The sequence below is a fragment of the Homo sapiens genome, chromosome 12, assembly GCF_000001405.40.
Source record: "Homo sapiens chromosome 12, GRCh38.p14 Primary Assembly".
In the NCBI taxonomy this organism is placed as follows: domain Eukaryota; kingdom Metazoa; phylum Chordata; class Mammalia; order Primates; family Hominidae; genus Homo; species Homo sapiens.
Window position 1 is genome coordinate 63,581,311 of NC_000012.12, and position 16,906 is coordinate 63,598,216.

The 16,906-nt window shown below is 35.9% G+C and overlaps 1 protein-coding gene across 23 annotated transcripts in view; it reads right to left on the reverse strand.

The window, feature by feature from the left end:
- DPY19L2 (dpy-19 like 2) overlaps positions 1-16,906 on the reverse strand; it is a 109,893-nt gene that overhangs the window by 22,398 nt on the left and 70,589 nt on the right. For 14 of the 23 annotated variants that reach the window (XM_047428722.1, XM_011538215.3, XM_024448947.2 and 11 more), the window contains 5 exons: positions 16,499-16,600; positions 14,656-14,727; positions 12,777-12,823; positions 2,502-2,526; positions 1,096-1,215 (listed from right to left, as the gene is read on the reverse strand). In XM_047428722.1, coding sequence (XP_047284678.1) covers positions 1,096-1,215; positions 2,502-2,526; positions 12,777-12,823; positions 14,656-14,727; positions 16,499-16,600 — 366 coding nt within the window. Of the gene's footprint in view, positions 1-1,095; positions 1,216-2,501; positions 2,527-5,974; positions 10,627-12,776; positions 12,824-14,655; positions 14,728-16,498; positions 16,601-16,906 lie in introns of those variants that run through there. The other 9 variants (XM_047428727.1, XM_024448949.2, XM_047428725.1 and 6 more) reach the window with 4 other exon arrangements.

Genomic DNA, 16,906 nt, shown 5'->3' on the forward strand with positions numbered 1-16,906 from the left:
ATATTCTAGCAATTTATCTAGTTCTTTTGTATGTTAGATAACAGTGATAGAACCCCAGAATTTCTTATAGATTCTTCGAGCCAAACAGGATCATATTAGAGCAATTTCTCTGCATCTACTCTGGTATTGGATGAGTATTTCAGGGTACTTTTGGTGAACCAGGAAACTCTTTTTTTTTTTTTTTTTTTTCTGAGACAGAGTCTCACTCTGTCTCCCAGGCTGTAATGCAGTGGTGTGACCTCAGCTCACTTCGACCTCCACTTCCCGGGTTCAAGCAATATTCCTGCCTCAGCCTCCTGAGTAGCTGGGATTACAGGCACACACCACCATGCCCGGCTAATTTTTGTATTTTAATAGAGATAGGGTTTCACCATGTTGGCCAGGCTGGTCTTGAACTCCTGACCTCAAGTGATCTGCCCACCTCGGCCTTCCAAAGTGCTGGGATTTCAGGTGTGAGCCACTGTGCCTGGCCACCAGGAAACTCTTTTTTTTCTCTTTTTCTTTTTTTGAGACAGAGTCTCACTCTGTCACCTAGGTTAGAGTGCTGTGATGCGATCTTGGCTGACTGTAGCCTCTGCCTCCCAGGTTCAAGCAATTCTCCTGCCTCAGCCTCCCAGGTAGCTGGAATTACAGGCACTCGCCACCATACCCGGCTAATTTTTGTATTTTTAGTAGAGATGGAGTTTCACCATGTTGGCCGGGCTGGTCTCGAACTCCTGGCCTCAAGTGATCTGCCCATCTCGGCCTCCCAAAGTGCTGGGATTACAGGTGTGAGCCACTGTGCCAGGCACTCTTACACAAACCTGAACTCTAAAAGGTTATGTTCATGGACAGGATATTAACAGAGGGGAAATGTTTGCCTAATCACTTGTTATAGAAATATCAATTAAAATCCAGAAATACTTTTCAAAGCCACTTGAAATTGCTTTTCTTGCTTATAGTGAATCATGAAGTAATATTTTAAATCATTTAACTTAGTTAAGTTAAAAACACTTAGTGTGTTTATATTTTGAATTAGTCAGCAAAGCCACAGTAACTACTAAGTATAGCTGCTATAGTTTTTATAGTATTGTTATACAAGAATGAATCCCTTACCTGTCGAGAGCATATCAAGGAAGCCATAACACACATGTGCGGTGTCAAAAACATCTTTAGCCTCATAATTAAAATGGCAAGGGCAGTAAACACTAACAACTGCAATGTGTGAAAAGCCAGCTATAAAACACAAATAAGACAAAATCACATTTTTACTTTTCATATTTTTAAATTAATGAAGTATATTAAAACTATATTATTCATTAAGACAAGGATCTTCTAACTTAGTAATAAGCCTATCAGTATTCATTCAGCAATAATTTATCGAATGTCTACTATGTTCCAGGTACTCTTCTGGGTGCTTCGGATACAGCAGTGAGCAATTTCTGTCCTTGCATTACATTTAACTACATTTAGTAATGAAAGACAGACAATACATAGAAATAGCAAATAAATAAATCCATTACATAGTCTACTGTAAGGCAATAAGTGCAGTTGGCAAGAAAATGGAGCAGGCAGAGGAGCTAGGGAGAGCAGGAGGTGGTGTGAGGAGGTGGAGTACCAACACAGTGGGCCTCACTGTAAAGTGACAAAGTTACTAATGCATCCCTGATCCAAAAATCTGAAATCTACAATGCTCCAAAATCTGAAACTTTTGAGTACCAATATGATGTTCAAAGGTTATGCTAAAACAAATGCTCATTGAAGCATTTTGGATTTTGGGTTTTCAGGTTAGGGATGCTCAACTAGTAACTACACTGTAAATATTCCAAAATTCAATAAAATCTGAAATCTGAAAAGCCTCTAGTCCTAAGCATTTTGGATAAGGGATACTCAACATGTGTCATAAACTATCTCTATTAAGTTCAAATTCAGTTACCCACTCCTGTAAAGTTGACCTTTACCTCAAGACCCACTTAAAGTTCTATCAAATAGGAAATATTTCCAGCCCACACTGATCTTTTCCTTTTTATGCCACAAAATAATTTTACACCATATAAAATGTTGTCTTATTTGTCTCCTTTGTAAAATTACCATACTGAAGGGCAGGAACATGACTTTAGTATCTTGTGTATCCTTCAACACTTCTGAGCTTGTCACTGACTGACCAGCAAATCTACGTGGTGGCAGATGGCCACCAGTCACAGGGCCAAGGGTGCCTGCCCTAATGGACTGTAGCTGATTAGCTCAGCAGGCTAGAAACTGAATGCTTGTTATTGTTAAATGAATGCAATTTAATTTAATTCTGTACTATAGTCATAAATCAGCCTTCTAGCTTTTAAATCCTTATTACTATTCAAAAGTAAGAGCAGATGAAAGAGTGAGAAGGATCAGCAGAAATTTATCACCAATGCTGAACAACTCACTACTGAAGGTGCATCAGCAGCAAGGTTATACCTTTGTCAATTATCCTCAAACTACAATTTAATACACAAGTCTACCAGAGATTAAAATGAAAGCTTTACCTCACTGTGTTCAAGGAGCTGTTTTCTAGAATAAAACAAAAATATTACCTATTTACTGAAGGTCTTTTATACTATGAATACATAAAAATAAGCTTCATTTGCTTGATCTTAGATTTTTAAAATGTGACTATCTCTAAACTACTTACGAAAATACATAAAAATAAAAATATCAGATAATAGTACAAAAATTACAACAATTTAAAAGTCATAATTTATAGTCATCCTATTCAAGATATGTCAAAAATTTGTTCTTTGGTTAAGACAAAATAGATTTTACAGATCCCTAGAGATTGTACCTCTCATTAATAAATGAATAGGATGACCTTCTATTCAACCTATATATACAGTGTATACAATACTTTAGATGACCACTGTTAAACTTTTGAGTTATTTTCATTTTTCACAATTACAAATAACATGGACACTCATGCATAAAACTTTGTAAGCATCTCTGAATATTTCCTTAGCATAAATTTCCAGAAGAAAAATTATTGGGTAAAACATAAATATTTTTAGTTTCAGAAAAGTTGTCCCTTTACAAAATATTTATAGTACACCTACTGTATTCTAGGCACTGTGCAATGAAATGAATACCACAGTCTCTGCTTATCCTCCAATCCTCACTTTCCACAGTTTCAGTTACCTGTGGCTAACTGCAGTCCAAAAACATTAAACGAAAAGTTCCAAGAAATAAACAATTCCTAAGTTTTAAATTGTGCACCATACTGAATAGTGAAATCTCAAGTCACCCTGCTTCATCCTACCTGGGATATGACTCACCCCTTTGTCCAGCATATCCATGCTCTATACGTCACCGGCCTGTTAGTCATGTAGTTACCATCTTAGTTATCAGATGGACTCTGGTGGTATCTCAGTGCTTGTTTTGAAGTAACCCTTTTCTGACTTAATAATGGCCCCAAAGTTCAAGAGCAGTGATGCTGGCAGTTGAGATATGCCAAAGAGAAGCTGTAAAGTGCTTTCTTTAAGAGAAAAGGTGAAAGTTCTCAAAAGAAAAAACATCATATGCTGAGGTTGCTAAGATCTACGGTAAGAACAAATCTACCCATGAAATTGTGAAGAAGAAGAAAAAATTAATGTTAGTTTTGCTGTTGCATCTAAAACTGCAAAAGTTATGGCCACAGTCCATGATGAGTGCTTAGTTAAGATGGAAAAGGCATTAAATCTGTGGGTGGAAGACGTGAACAGAAATGTGTTCCGATGGTGGCAATCACGTGTGTTACTCTCTGCAGTTTCAAGCATCCACTGGGGGTCTTGGGATGCGTCGCCCTGCAGATAAGGGCAACTGCTGTGCAGCATGAACAGTATGGATACAATACTTATCTTCATGGAGTTTATATTAGAGTAAGACAAGAGGTAGGAGACTGCCTATTTTATTGTTCTCTTGAAAAGACTGGGTATTTTACTTTTATGAAAGGCTTTATAGCCTGCAGGGGCATTCTAATATGGATTTTGGGGGTGAAGAGAGAAATAGGTGTGGAAAGTAAGTTCAGGGGTACAGAGACTCATAGGTTTTTTAAAAGAGAAGTCAGGGGAAGGTCTCTTAAGGTAGTAATGGAGTCCAAATTATTCTATGTCCCTTGTAGCTCCTACCCTTTGTATGCAGTAGTTTTTTTTTAAATCGAAGACAGGGGAAGGTCTCTTAAGGTAATAGTAGAGACCAAATTATTCTGTCTCCCTCATAGCTCCTTCCCTGTGTATGCAGTTAACGGAGTGGGGTTTCTCCACTTGTCCCGAAATCTTCTAGGCACAACAGATTCCTGTAGTGAGCTGCATGCAAGGAAGAAGCCTGGTAGGTGAGTAATTATTATAATCACCAAGAACCCTGAAAGTAACTACTGATACTTTATTTAAATCAAGTAGCTAATTAAAAATGTGAATATACAACCAAATCCCAAGACACAGATATCATGAAAAGGAAACATCAAAATAAATAAGCAAAAAGCTTGACCTCTCATGAAACAGCCAATGCAAATGAAAACTCCAATTATTGTTTTCACAGAAGTTTAAGAGGATAATGCATCCATATAATTAAAATAAGCTCCAGTGAAAAGGAGTTTTCAGAAATTCTAAGAAAAATATATTTGCCTAATTTAAAGCCTCAAAAGAAAGTTGAAGAGCAAAATGTACACAGCTGAAGTTGACAGTATTAAAGACTCAGTGATGATATTCTCTGAGAACACAGAAAGAAAAGAAATAGATAATGTGATAAAAGCAATAACAGAAATTCAAAAAAGAGAGGCTAAAGTGAAAGAATAAGAGAACAACAACACACACACATCACCCCTCCAAACCTTATGAATTTCCAGAGAGAAAAACTGTATAGGAATTTTCATCTGTAATGCTCAATGCTAGAACACAAAGAAGCAATGTCAACAAAATGTTGAATGAAACCCATAAATATCTATTAACCAATCTATCAATCAAATATGAGGGCAAAATAAAGCCATTTTTTCAGGTAAGAAAGCACCCAGAAAGCATGCCAATTCTACATGTCAAGGAAAAATAAATCAGTAAAATTTGAAGTCAAGTCCAAAGATTGCTGGTGTCTTTAATGTAAGTGTTTAGAGACTTCTTAAAACATAACAGATAAGACAACAATCTAGAAAGTAAATTTCAGCATAACCTGGAAGGAGAGGGTGTCTAGGCAGGGGCAAGTAGAAATATTCCAACAGCTCAGCGCTGAAGCAAGCAGGTCTCTAGGTACAGAGCCTGAGTACGAATTCTGCCTCCACTACTCACTAGCTGTGTGCCTTTCAGAAAATTACTTACCTTCTTATTGGTTTCCTCATCTGCAAATAATGGGAATAACTGACTCCCTTCTCACAAGGTGACTGTGAGGATTTATTGAGTTAATACTGGTAAGAAGCTTAAAATACTGTCAGACACACAGGAAATAATAACTGTTAGCTACTATCGTTGGTGGTAACAGGTTTTAGATGCTGATGAATTCTTAATATCAAGATGAATACATTTGATAATAATTTAAGAGAAACCACCAGGAAATACAGAAATGGGATATAGCTAACAATTCAGCGAGTATCAAGAAAATAATTTTTGAAAAGCACGATGAATAGAAAACATAAAATCAGATGGCAGAGAGAAGTACAAACACAGCAGTTATCACAGTTAATATGAAAATGGGTTAAATTCACCAATTAGAAAACGGGTATTAGAGGAATTTGAATAGAAAAAATCTAACAATGAGAAATATACCTAAACCAAAATGTCACAAAAATGTTAAAAAAAAGCATAAATACAGGTAAACCAGGAAAATCTATAAAAAAGAAAGCAGATGTGGCAATATTAATTTTATACAAAGAAAAATTTACAGCAAAAAACCACTAAGTAAAGCAAAGAATATCCTTTATAATAAAAGTACAATCCTATAATAATCATGCAATGAACAACAGCACTATCTATATAAAGCAAACACTATTAAAATTACAAGACAATTTTGAAAAATTCATTTTTAATGTTGTATGTGAAGATAGCATTCTAAGAAAACAGATAAAGTAGAAAAATAAGTTGATGTACTAGACCATTTGGAATAGCACTATTAATAACATGATATAACATGTAACTTTGAACTTCCCCTAAATAAGAAATGAACATTTAAAAAATCCTCACAGAGCATTTACTAAAACTGAACATCCATCTCAATAGATAGCAAGTTAATTTTAAAGGCAAAATATACAACAGAAGAAACTAGTTAGACATTTTTAAAAATTATTATTATTATTATTATTATTATTATTATTATTGAGACAGAGCCTCGCACTGTTGCCAGGCTGGAGTGCAGTGGCAATCTTGGCTCACTGCAACCTCCAACTCCTGGGTTCCAGCGATTCTCCTGCCTCAGCCTCCCGAGTAGCTGCGATTACAGGTGTGTGCCACCACACCCAGCTAATTTGTGTATTTTTAGTGGAGACAGGGTTTCACCGTGTTGGCCAGGATGGTCTCGATCTCCTGACCTCGTGATCCGCCCGCCTTGGCCTCCCAAAGTGCTGGGATTATAGGCATGAGCCACCGAACCCGGCCTAAAACTAGTTAGACATTTTAAGACATTCTTCTAAGTGATTTTGGATTAAATGATCAAAACTCAAATCACAGACTACACAGAAATCAACATTAATGGTAATGCTACACACATCATGGGATACAGTGTGCGTTTTCTTCAAAGAAAAAGTTATAACTTTAAATGTATTTACTAGGACACAATAATGATTGATAATAAATGATGTGAACTTTAGACACAGAAAAACAACAAAAGTGCACCAAAAGAAAAACTAAGGACATAAACATATAAACAGAGATTAATAAAATGGAGAACAACCTTCATAAATATAAGGAATAAAACCAAAAGCTGGTTTTATGAAAAATCCAAAAAAGAATGACCTCGTTATGGACTAATGCAGCTGGTGACTTTCGGTTGAAGCCAATGTTCATTTACCACTTTGAAAATCCTGAGGCCTTTTTTCAGAATTATGCTAAATCTACTCTGCCTCTACTCTACAAATGGAACAACAAAGCCTGGATGACAGCACATCTGTCACAGCATGATTTACTGAATATTTTAAAAGTTTCAGTTAAGCCAGATGAATAAGTTCGAGAGATCGACTATAGAATGTTATACTTATAGTCCACAATACTGTATTATACAATTAAAAAATCGTTAAGAGGGTAGATCACATGTTAAGCATTCTTACCAAATTTTAAAAACAAGTGTAGTTATTAATAAGGAGAAAAAATATATAATAATCCCCAAAATATTTTTAAAGCCATTTTTAAAAAATTTAACATTCATTTTTTACTGCTTTATTGAGTTACAATTCACACATTATATACTTTCAACATCTATCTTTAATTTAATTTTTAAAATTATCCTGGTTTATATAAACCAAAAGGAAACTTTCTTTTTTTTTTTTTTTTTTTGTTTTTTGAGACGGAGTCTCACTCTGTCGCCCAGGCTGGAGTGCGGTGGCGCGATCTCAGCTCACTGAAACCTCCGCCTCCCGGGTTCACGCCATTCTCCTGCCTCAGCCTACCGAGTAGCTGGGACTACAGGCGCCCACCACGATGCCCAGCTAATTTTTTGTATTTTTAGTAGAGACGGGGTTTCACCATGTTAGCCAGGATGGCCTCAATCTCCTGACCTCGTGATCCGCCCACCTTGGCCTCCCAAAATGCTGGTATTACAGGCGTGAGCCACCGCGCCTGGCCAAGGAAACTTTCTTAATGAAATAAAGGCTATCTATTATATACTAACAGTAAATGAAACAGTGAGACACTAAAGGCATTCTTCACTTTAGAGTCAGAAACAAAATAAGGGCAAGCCCATCATCACTGCAATTCAAAATTGTTCTGGAAGTTCTAGCACGACAAGAAAGTAAAGAAGTATAAATATTAGAAAGTTATTACTATTTGTAGATTATATGATAACCTGCCTAGAAAATCCAGACATCAATGGAAAAACTATCAGAACCAGAAAGAAAGTTTGGTAATGTGGCTAGATAAAAATGTGTTGCAAAAAAAAAAAAAAAAAAAAAAAAAAAAAAAAAAAGTAAAGCAGCTTTCCTATAAACTAAAAGATCAATATAAGAGACAATCTAAAACAGACTCAAGTACAATGAGAATTGATAAGTGATAAAAGCTGACATTTGGAAAAAAGATTTATGCAACACTGTGTTGGGACAATACCTCATTAGAGGGGGAAAGGTAGACTCCTCTATGTCACTATACCACAAAATTAACGCAAGAGTAATAAATAACCTATATGTAAATAGACACTTATGAAAGAAAATATGAAAAAAAATTTTCATGTTTTTCGTATAGGGAAGTGTTCTAAGCAACATATGAACCCAGAAAAAATATATAACTGTGATTGTAGAGAAATTTTGAAGTTCTACAAAGCAGAGACCATAAATGAACTATAAGTTGACATCTTGGAAGAAACTATGTAATGCACATAAGAGACAAAATGTTACGTCTATGGAAAAAGCAAAAACATAACACATAGCCGGGCACAGTGGCTCATGCCTGCAATCCCAGCACTTTGGCAGGCCCAGGTGGCTGGATCACTTGAGTTCAGGAGTTCGAGACCAGCCTGGCCAACATGGCAAACCCTGTCTCTACTAAAAATATAAAAATTAGCTGAGTGTGATGACGGGTGCCTGTTATCCCAGCTACTCCAGAGGCTGGGGCAGGAGAATTGCTTGAACCCCGGAGGCAGAGGTTGCAGTGAGCCGAGATTGTGCCACTGCATACACAGCAGCGAGACAAAAAAAACAAAACAAAACAAAACAACAACAACAACAACAAAAACCCACAAAACAACTTTTAAAGGTCAAAAAGAAACATAGTAAACAAACACATGAAAAGCTGCAAAACTCCACTGACAAAGAATTGATACAATAAAATGAATTGTTTTTACCTATCAGAAAAAATTAAAAGCTTGATAACGATGTTGGTGGAGTTGCAGAGAAATGGACACTCTCATCATTATAATTTCTCAGTTTTAACAAATTCTAAAATATGCAGGCCTCATAATCAGCAGTCCAAATTCAAATATTTCATACTATAGAAATACTTAGAATAAGTGTACCAAGATACACGAACCAGGATGTTCAATCCTCAAAACATTGGTTTTTTTAAGACAAAAGTTATATATAATCTAAACTTTCATTGATATGGGAAAGGCAGTCACGCATGATGGTCAACAATAAAATCCTAAGACCATTATAAAATATAATGAAGATCAAGGAAGAGGCCCAAGACACACTATTAAATACAAGTAACAAGTTGCAGAATAAGAAGAATACAATTCTATTTTTTTAAAATATTGTGTTTCTATATGTATTTTCTAAAATAAAACATACAAAGCTACTTACAATCAGCACCCAGGGGAGCAGATCTAAGAGAGGGGAGTATTCCCTCTCTTTTTGATACGCTGGTTTTTCAGAATGTATTACTACTAGCCCCTGCTATTATTATTTTTGAGATTTAACCCGGAACCCTCTGCCCATACACAACAGGCCTGTCACTTTCAAATATGTAATCAATACATAGACTTCCATATTCTGAGTAATTATCTTCCATCCATTGACCCCTCCGAGTCTGTCGCTTCCACATTACACCCTCTGCAATATATGAAGACAGTTGCCACATACCCTTCAATCTTCTATTATCCAATTAAATATCCCAAGTCCCTTCATGTACTCCTTATGGGAACAGTGTCCAGGGTTCTCCATTCATTCTTTTTTAGAATGCCAAGACACATTTCCCTGTGCTCCATCTGTCTGGAACAATATAGAATGGTTCTATTATCCCCTTTATTTTGGAAACAATTTCAACAGATGCACCTAAGAGCTTAATTAGCTCTTCTGACAACCATACACAGCTGTTTATTAAAAATACAAGCATGGAGTATGGAGTTCATAGAAATTCTTTCTACTGTCTTCACAATTTTTCTATAAATCTAAAACTATTCTATAAAGTAGAAGTCACAAAATAAAATCAAATATTCTATTTACAAATATAAAATGTAACTTGAAAATTACTATTAGGTACTATGCTCACCACCTGGATACAATATACCCATATAACAAGACTGTACATGTGCCCCCTGCATCGAAAATAAAAGTTGAACACTAAAAAACATGTCATTTGAGATCATATTTCCCTCAGAAGGAAATTTTCTTCACAATTTACTTCTTGAGTTTTGTAGCAATTTACTTATGTGTGACTGATACGATACATTTTGCTGGCATCTGCTTATGCTAGTGACATTACTAAAACCATCCAAAAATGTTATACAATAAATAGTTTTAACAATAAGTTTAGAAGAAAATTCATAAATATTCAGGAACACAAATAATTATACCCCCTCTGAAAGTTAAAAAAGAAAGAAAAAGAAAAGCCTGACCAACACGGTGAAACCCCCTCTCTACAAAAAAATACAAAAATTAGCTGGGCATGGTGATGCACACCTGTAGTCCCAGCTGACTGGCAGAGCTGAGATGAGATGATCGCGTGAGTCCGGGATGTCCAGGCTGCAGTGAGCAGAGATCATGCCACTGCACTCCAGCCTGGCTGACAGAGCAAGACTCTGTGAAAAGAAAAGAAAAGAAAAGAAAAGAAAAGAAAAGAGGGGAAGGGAAGGGAAGGGAGGGGAAGGGAGGGGAGGGGAGGGGAGGGGAGGGGAGGGGAGGGGAGGGAACGGAAGGGAAGGGAAGGCAAGAGAAGACAAGAGAAGACAAGAGAAAAGAGAAAAGAAAAGAGAAGAGAAGAGGAAAGACAAGACAAGACAGAGAGAGAGAGAGAAGGAAGGAAGGCAGGAAAGAAGGAAGGGAGGAAGGGAGGGAGGGAGGAATTCCAAAAATTGCCAGGGTAATTTATAGATTCAATGCCATCCCCATCAAGCTACCAATGACTTTCTTCACAGAATTGGAAAAAACTACTTTCAAGTTCATATGGAACCAAAAAAGAGCCCGCATCACCAAGTCAATCCTAAGCCAAAAGAACAAAGCTGGAGGCATCACGCTACCTGACTTCAAACTATACTACAAGGCTACAGTAACCAAAACAGCATGGTACTGGTACCAAAACAGAGATATAGATCAATGGAACAGAACAGAGCCCTCAGAAATAACGCCGCATATCTACAACTATCTGATCTTTGACAAACCTGAGAAAAAGAAGCAATGGGGAAAGGATTCCCTATTTAATAAATGGTGCTGGGAAAACTGGCTAGCCATATGTAGAAAGCTGAAACTGGATCCCTTCCTTACACCTTATACAAAAATTAATTCAAGATGGATTAAAGACTTAAACGTTAGACCTAAAACCATAAAAACCCTAGAAGAAAACCTAGGCATTACCATTCAGGACATAGGCATGGGCAAGGACTTCATGTCTAAAACACCAAAAGCAATGGCAACAAAAGCCAAAATTGACAAATGGGATCTAATTAAACTACACAGCTTCTGCACAGCAAAAGAAACTACCATCAGAGTCAACAGGCAACCTACAACATGGGAGAAAATTTTCACAACCTACTCATCTGACAAAGGGCTAATATCCAGAATCTACAATGAACTCAAACAAATTTACAAGAAAAAAACAAACAACCCCATCAAAAAGTGGGTGAAGGACATGAACAGACACTTCTCAAAAGAAGACATTTATGCAGCCAAAAAACACATGAAAAAATGCTCATCATCACTGGCCATCAGAGAAATGCAAATCAAAACCACAATGAGATACCATCTCACACCAGTTAGAATGGCGATCATTAAAAAGTCAGGAAACAACAGGTGCCGGAGAGGATGTGGAGAAATAGGAACACTTTTACACTGTTGGTGGGACTGTAAACTAGTTCAACCCTTGTGGAAGTCAGTGTGGCGATTCCTCAAAGATCTAGAACTAGAAATACCATTTGACCCAGCCATCCCATTACTGGGTATATACTCAAAGGACTATAAATCATGCTGCTATAAAGACACTTGCACACGTATGTTTATTGCGGCACTATTCACAATAGCAAAGACTTGGAACCAACCCAAATGTCCAACAATGATAGACTGGATTAAGAAAATGTGGCACATATACACCATGGAATACTATGCAGCCATAAAAAATGATGAGCTCATGTCCTTTGTAGGGACATGGATGAAATTGGAAATCATCATTCTCAGTAAACGATTGCAAGAACAAAAAACCAAACACCGCATATTCTCACTCATAGGTGGGAATTGAACAATGAGAACACATGGACACAGGAAGGGGAACATCACACTCTGGGGACTGTTGTGGGGTAGGGGGAGAGGGGAGGGATAGCTTTAGGAGATATACCTAATGCTAAATGACAAGTTAATGGGTGCAGCACACCAGCATGGCACATGTATACATATGTAACTAACCTGCACATTGTGCACATGTACCCTAAAACTTAAAGTATAATAATAAAAATAAAAAAAAATAAATCTTTAGCTTACTGACTTTAAATTCTAATATTATAATTTATCAATTTAAACTTTGAGTTGGTTCACAAATATATATATCTCCAAAACAAGTCCAAATACATATAAGAAATCTGTAAGAATAATATTTTTAAGGAAACATTTAAGTTTGGCTCATATTTCCTTTCTTAATCACAATGCTAAAGTTTAATGCATATTCATTTGAAAAATTAATGTTACAGTAAGTTATTTAATAATGGAATACTGTATGTTTTAAAAACAATGATGATATAATTACCTTAGATAAATGTTTGTAGCTAAAACATATGAAATATCACGAACAGTCTGTGAATAGAATCAAATCAATGAAACTTTTGTAAGGAATACTGCAATATTTAAAATGCTCTGATTCATTAATATAAACACTCTGCCAAGGAAAGAAGTATTTTTTAATGTTTAAGGGAGTCCTCAGGAACAGGACGGTCATACTATAGATGCCTTCCTTTTCTCCTTCCGAGAAGTGACTTCACATCATTGAAAACTAAATGACCATCAGAAGTATCCTTGGGGTGAAAAATAAGCCACAATAGGACAAATAAAGACTGAGGGGTTTATAAGAAAGCAGAAAGGAAGGAGTGAAACTTGGCTGGCTGCAGGGATGAGAGAGAGAGAGATAGTGTGTGTGTGTGTGTGTGTGTGTGTGTATGAAACTTGGCCGGCTACAGGGATTTGTGTGTGTGTGTGTATGTGTGTATGTGTGTATGAAACCTGGCTAGCTGTAGGGATGTTTGTATGTGTGTGTGTGTGCGTGCACGTGTGTGTGTATGAAACTTGACTGGCTGCAGGGACGTGTGTGTGCGTGTCTGTGTGTGTGTGTGTGTGTATGCACATGCCCCTGCTAGTGCACATGCATAGTTCAGGTTGTGGTGTGTCTGGAAACTAGTAATGTATTTATAAGTCTTGGATCTTAATTTTTTAAAATATAGCAGTTGCGGATCTAGCTATCAGTTTCTCTCACATTGCTGACTCTCCGCTGAATAGTTAATTCATGCATTGGCCCCTCTAAGTGGAGCCTTAGAAGAATAATTTGACATTTTGCCTTGATGGAAAAGAAACAGGCCAGTAGAGAAAATCTTCATTCTAAGCCAGCATGGGCCGAAAGGATGCAGGGCGGTAAACCTGCTCACATTTTACTCATTCCTCCTTGTTTCCTTTATCCTGACTCTTCCCACGTGGTCTGCAGGGAACTGGATCAAGGGTGAAACAACAGAGATGTCGAGGGAGATACCTTTCTCACTCTTAAATTACTCACATCTCTGTGTAAACAAAGGAGTGAGAAGTGTGGCAACTAAAACTACATAGAGAAGATATGCAATTTGACTGTAAATACAGAAAACTCCTTTCAACAAGAACACAACTGGTATGGTGGTAGGGAAACTGCATTATTATTATCTGCTTAAAAGTATACAATAAATACATACTGGCTTAAGACTTGATAGCTTGTAAATAATATAAATAAAGATGGCTCAAGACTGCTTAAAAAAATACCCACTGTCTTTAACCATGCTTTTAGATAAACTCCACCCAGACCAAGAAAACCTACCAGTGGTATTTTAAAGATTATTTTTTTCATTGAGATGTTCTTTTCTTCTGTCATGAAAACAGTGAACATGTAGAAAAGTATTTTTCAATTAGCTATACAGATTTCTTCTACGCAGGCCCACTCAAAATAGATCAAGACTTCACTGTGCTTTATATTTGAAAGATACTAACATTGTTGTCACTGGACTTTTCTTTCATAGCACCTATAAAAATTTTAATTCTTTAGACATTTGTGTGATTATTTGCTTCATGTTTGCACCCCCACCCCCAATAATCCAGGATTGTAAGTTCCAAGACAGGAGCGGCCAGGTTTTATTTGTCCGGGTGTACCTACAATGTTAATGTAGTCCTTGATACACAGTTGGTGACTGGTATGTATCTTTTGAAAGAAAAAATAAGAATACCTTTTATCATGGCTTTTTATAAAAAGATCGATGATGAAAGATCTAAATAAAAAGCAAACTTTTAGAGAGAGAAAGAGTTCATCCTAAAAATAACATGGAATTCTGAGCAATTTGCATTCTTATAGTCCTTATATTGATGCCAAAAACAAATAATAATTTGTTTAAAAATACCTTTTTAAAGATAAAACATGTAATCACCATAACAACTGGAAGCAATAATGTCTTTGTGTATCTCAGCGGAGTCTGAAATATACCAAATTATTCAAAATGGTTACTTACAATTTTTACATTAAATTAGTAAACACCTATGTCAAACTAAGTGCCATGATAACATTCCTTAAAAGTAAAAGGTTAAATTTCTTTGTCATCAGCAGAATATATATTTATTGTCTTCCATGCCTTAATAAAATAATTAAAATTATAAAAATAGTTATAAAAAGTATTCCAAAAATTTAATGAAAAATTTATTATTTTAATAAAACTAGAATTGCTATATCTATTTTTTCTTTTCTGTTTTTTATTTACATAATACTAAGTTTTAAAATGTGTGTCTACCGATCCCTGGGTCCTACGTTGTAACTTTCTGTACTACACAGCTCCATTATTTTCATTAGTGAAACTAGAGCTAACAAGAAAGAACGCTAACCAAAGTTAATGACTAAAACTATGAATAAGTACAGAAATAACATTGGCTAACTAATTCTGATGACCTGTTATTGTAATAAGGAGTAATTTACCATGTAACTAAATTATACATTTCTTAAAAGCAAGAAACCAGTTCATTTTCCTATTTGTCGTGCTATAGCAAACTGCCTCATGGATAACTAGTGGTCAATAATAGTTTTTGAATGAATGGGATGACTGGTTGGATGGATAAGAGAAGAATGTAAAATTTTATTATTTACCACTAATTCAGAATTCATAATGATTACACAAGGAATAATCAATCCAGTAGCAACTTTGTTATGTCCTATGAAGAAAATTGAGCTACAAATAGAGGAAAGAGCCCTGGATTGAGAGTTCTAGAATCCATTAGAATCCACGTCCTGATCTTGGCTTGTGTGTGCTTTAGGCAAATCTTTTAAGCTTTTCTTTATCTGCAAATGAAAGAACTATATGGCATGGTCTCTAAGAGCCCTTCCTGATCTTGTGTTCCATGATTCTACAAAGAGGCCAATTTTTTTTTCTTTTTTTTTGATACAGAGTCTCACTCTGTCACCCAGGCTGGAGTGCATTGGTGCGATCTCAGCTCATTGCAATCTCCACCTCCAGGGTTCAAGCAATTCTCCTGTCTCAGCCTCCTACTCAGGCTGGGACTACAGGCATGCACCAACATGCCTGGTTAATTTTTGTATTTTTAGTAGAGATGGAGTTACCACCATGTTGGCCAGGCTGGTCTCAAACTCCTGACCTCAAGTGATCTACCCGCCTCAGCATCCCTAAGTGCTGGGATTACAGGGATGAACCACCACGCCCAGCCTATATTTTAAAGCTTTATAACATGAAGTTTTTAAAAAGAATAATACCTTGCATTTGTATAATTTAAAATGAATTTTTATATGTTCATTAAAACTCATCAGTAGCATACCTTTCTTGGTAACACCTTGTTAAAAATGTTATAATATTTGGGGTGTTAACTGTAATAAAACTGAATTTCTTAAAAACAGAAACAAGAATTTAGACTTTTTCCTGAATGGTCCCATATTTCCAAGTGGCCTAGATTATCAAAAGTAATTGATTTGTAATAATAGTAATTATTATGGGTCATATAGTATGTTAAATACTCTTCTCAGATTATCTCATTTAACCATCATCAATAACTCTATAAGATAGAGGCTATCTTTTTTTTTTAACAGACAAAAAAAACAAGTGAGGAATGTAGATTAGCAAAAGTTACAGTAAAAAATATAAAATAAGTTGACTGTTTCTGAGCAAAAATTTTGAGTTTCAGATTTTAAAAAACCTAGAGCAAAAAACTCATATTAGTAGAGAAGGAAAAAAGAAACATTCATACCGCTTTTTCCATGAAGTCAAATTCGGGAGCACAGGTATATATTAAAGTATCAAAATCTGTATACCTTAAGATTCTGGCTGCTATAAGATCACTCAGGCGAATCTGGGAGAAAATAAAGTAAAATGAATTAAAATTACACAAGTGATTATAGCCTATAGACAGTAATACTTTATTGATGTAAGAATAACAAAGTTTATAGAGCAGATAAATCCAATATATTTAGACATCCCTCTAAGAAAACAAAAAACTACAGTGAACCAAATATACCATGTGCTGACTTCTCAAGATAACTGAAAATAAAGAGAAATATCATGAAAAATGAAAAGTAGAAAGAAGTTAGAAAAAACAAAGAGAAGATGATAAAGAGTGAGCTAAAATCAATATCTGCTGAGAATAAACCACCATGTA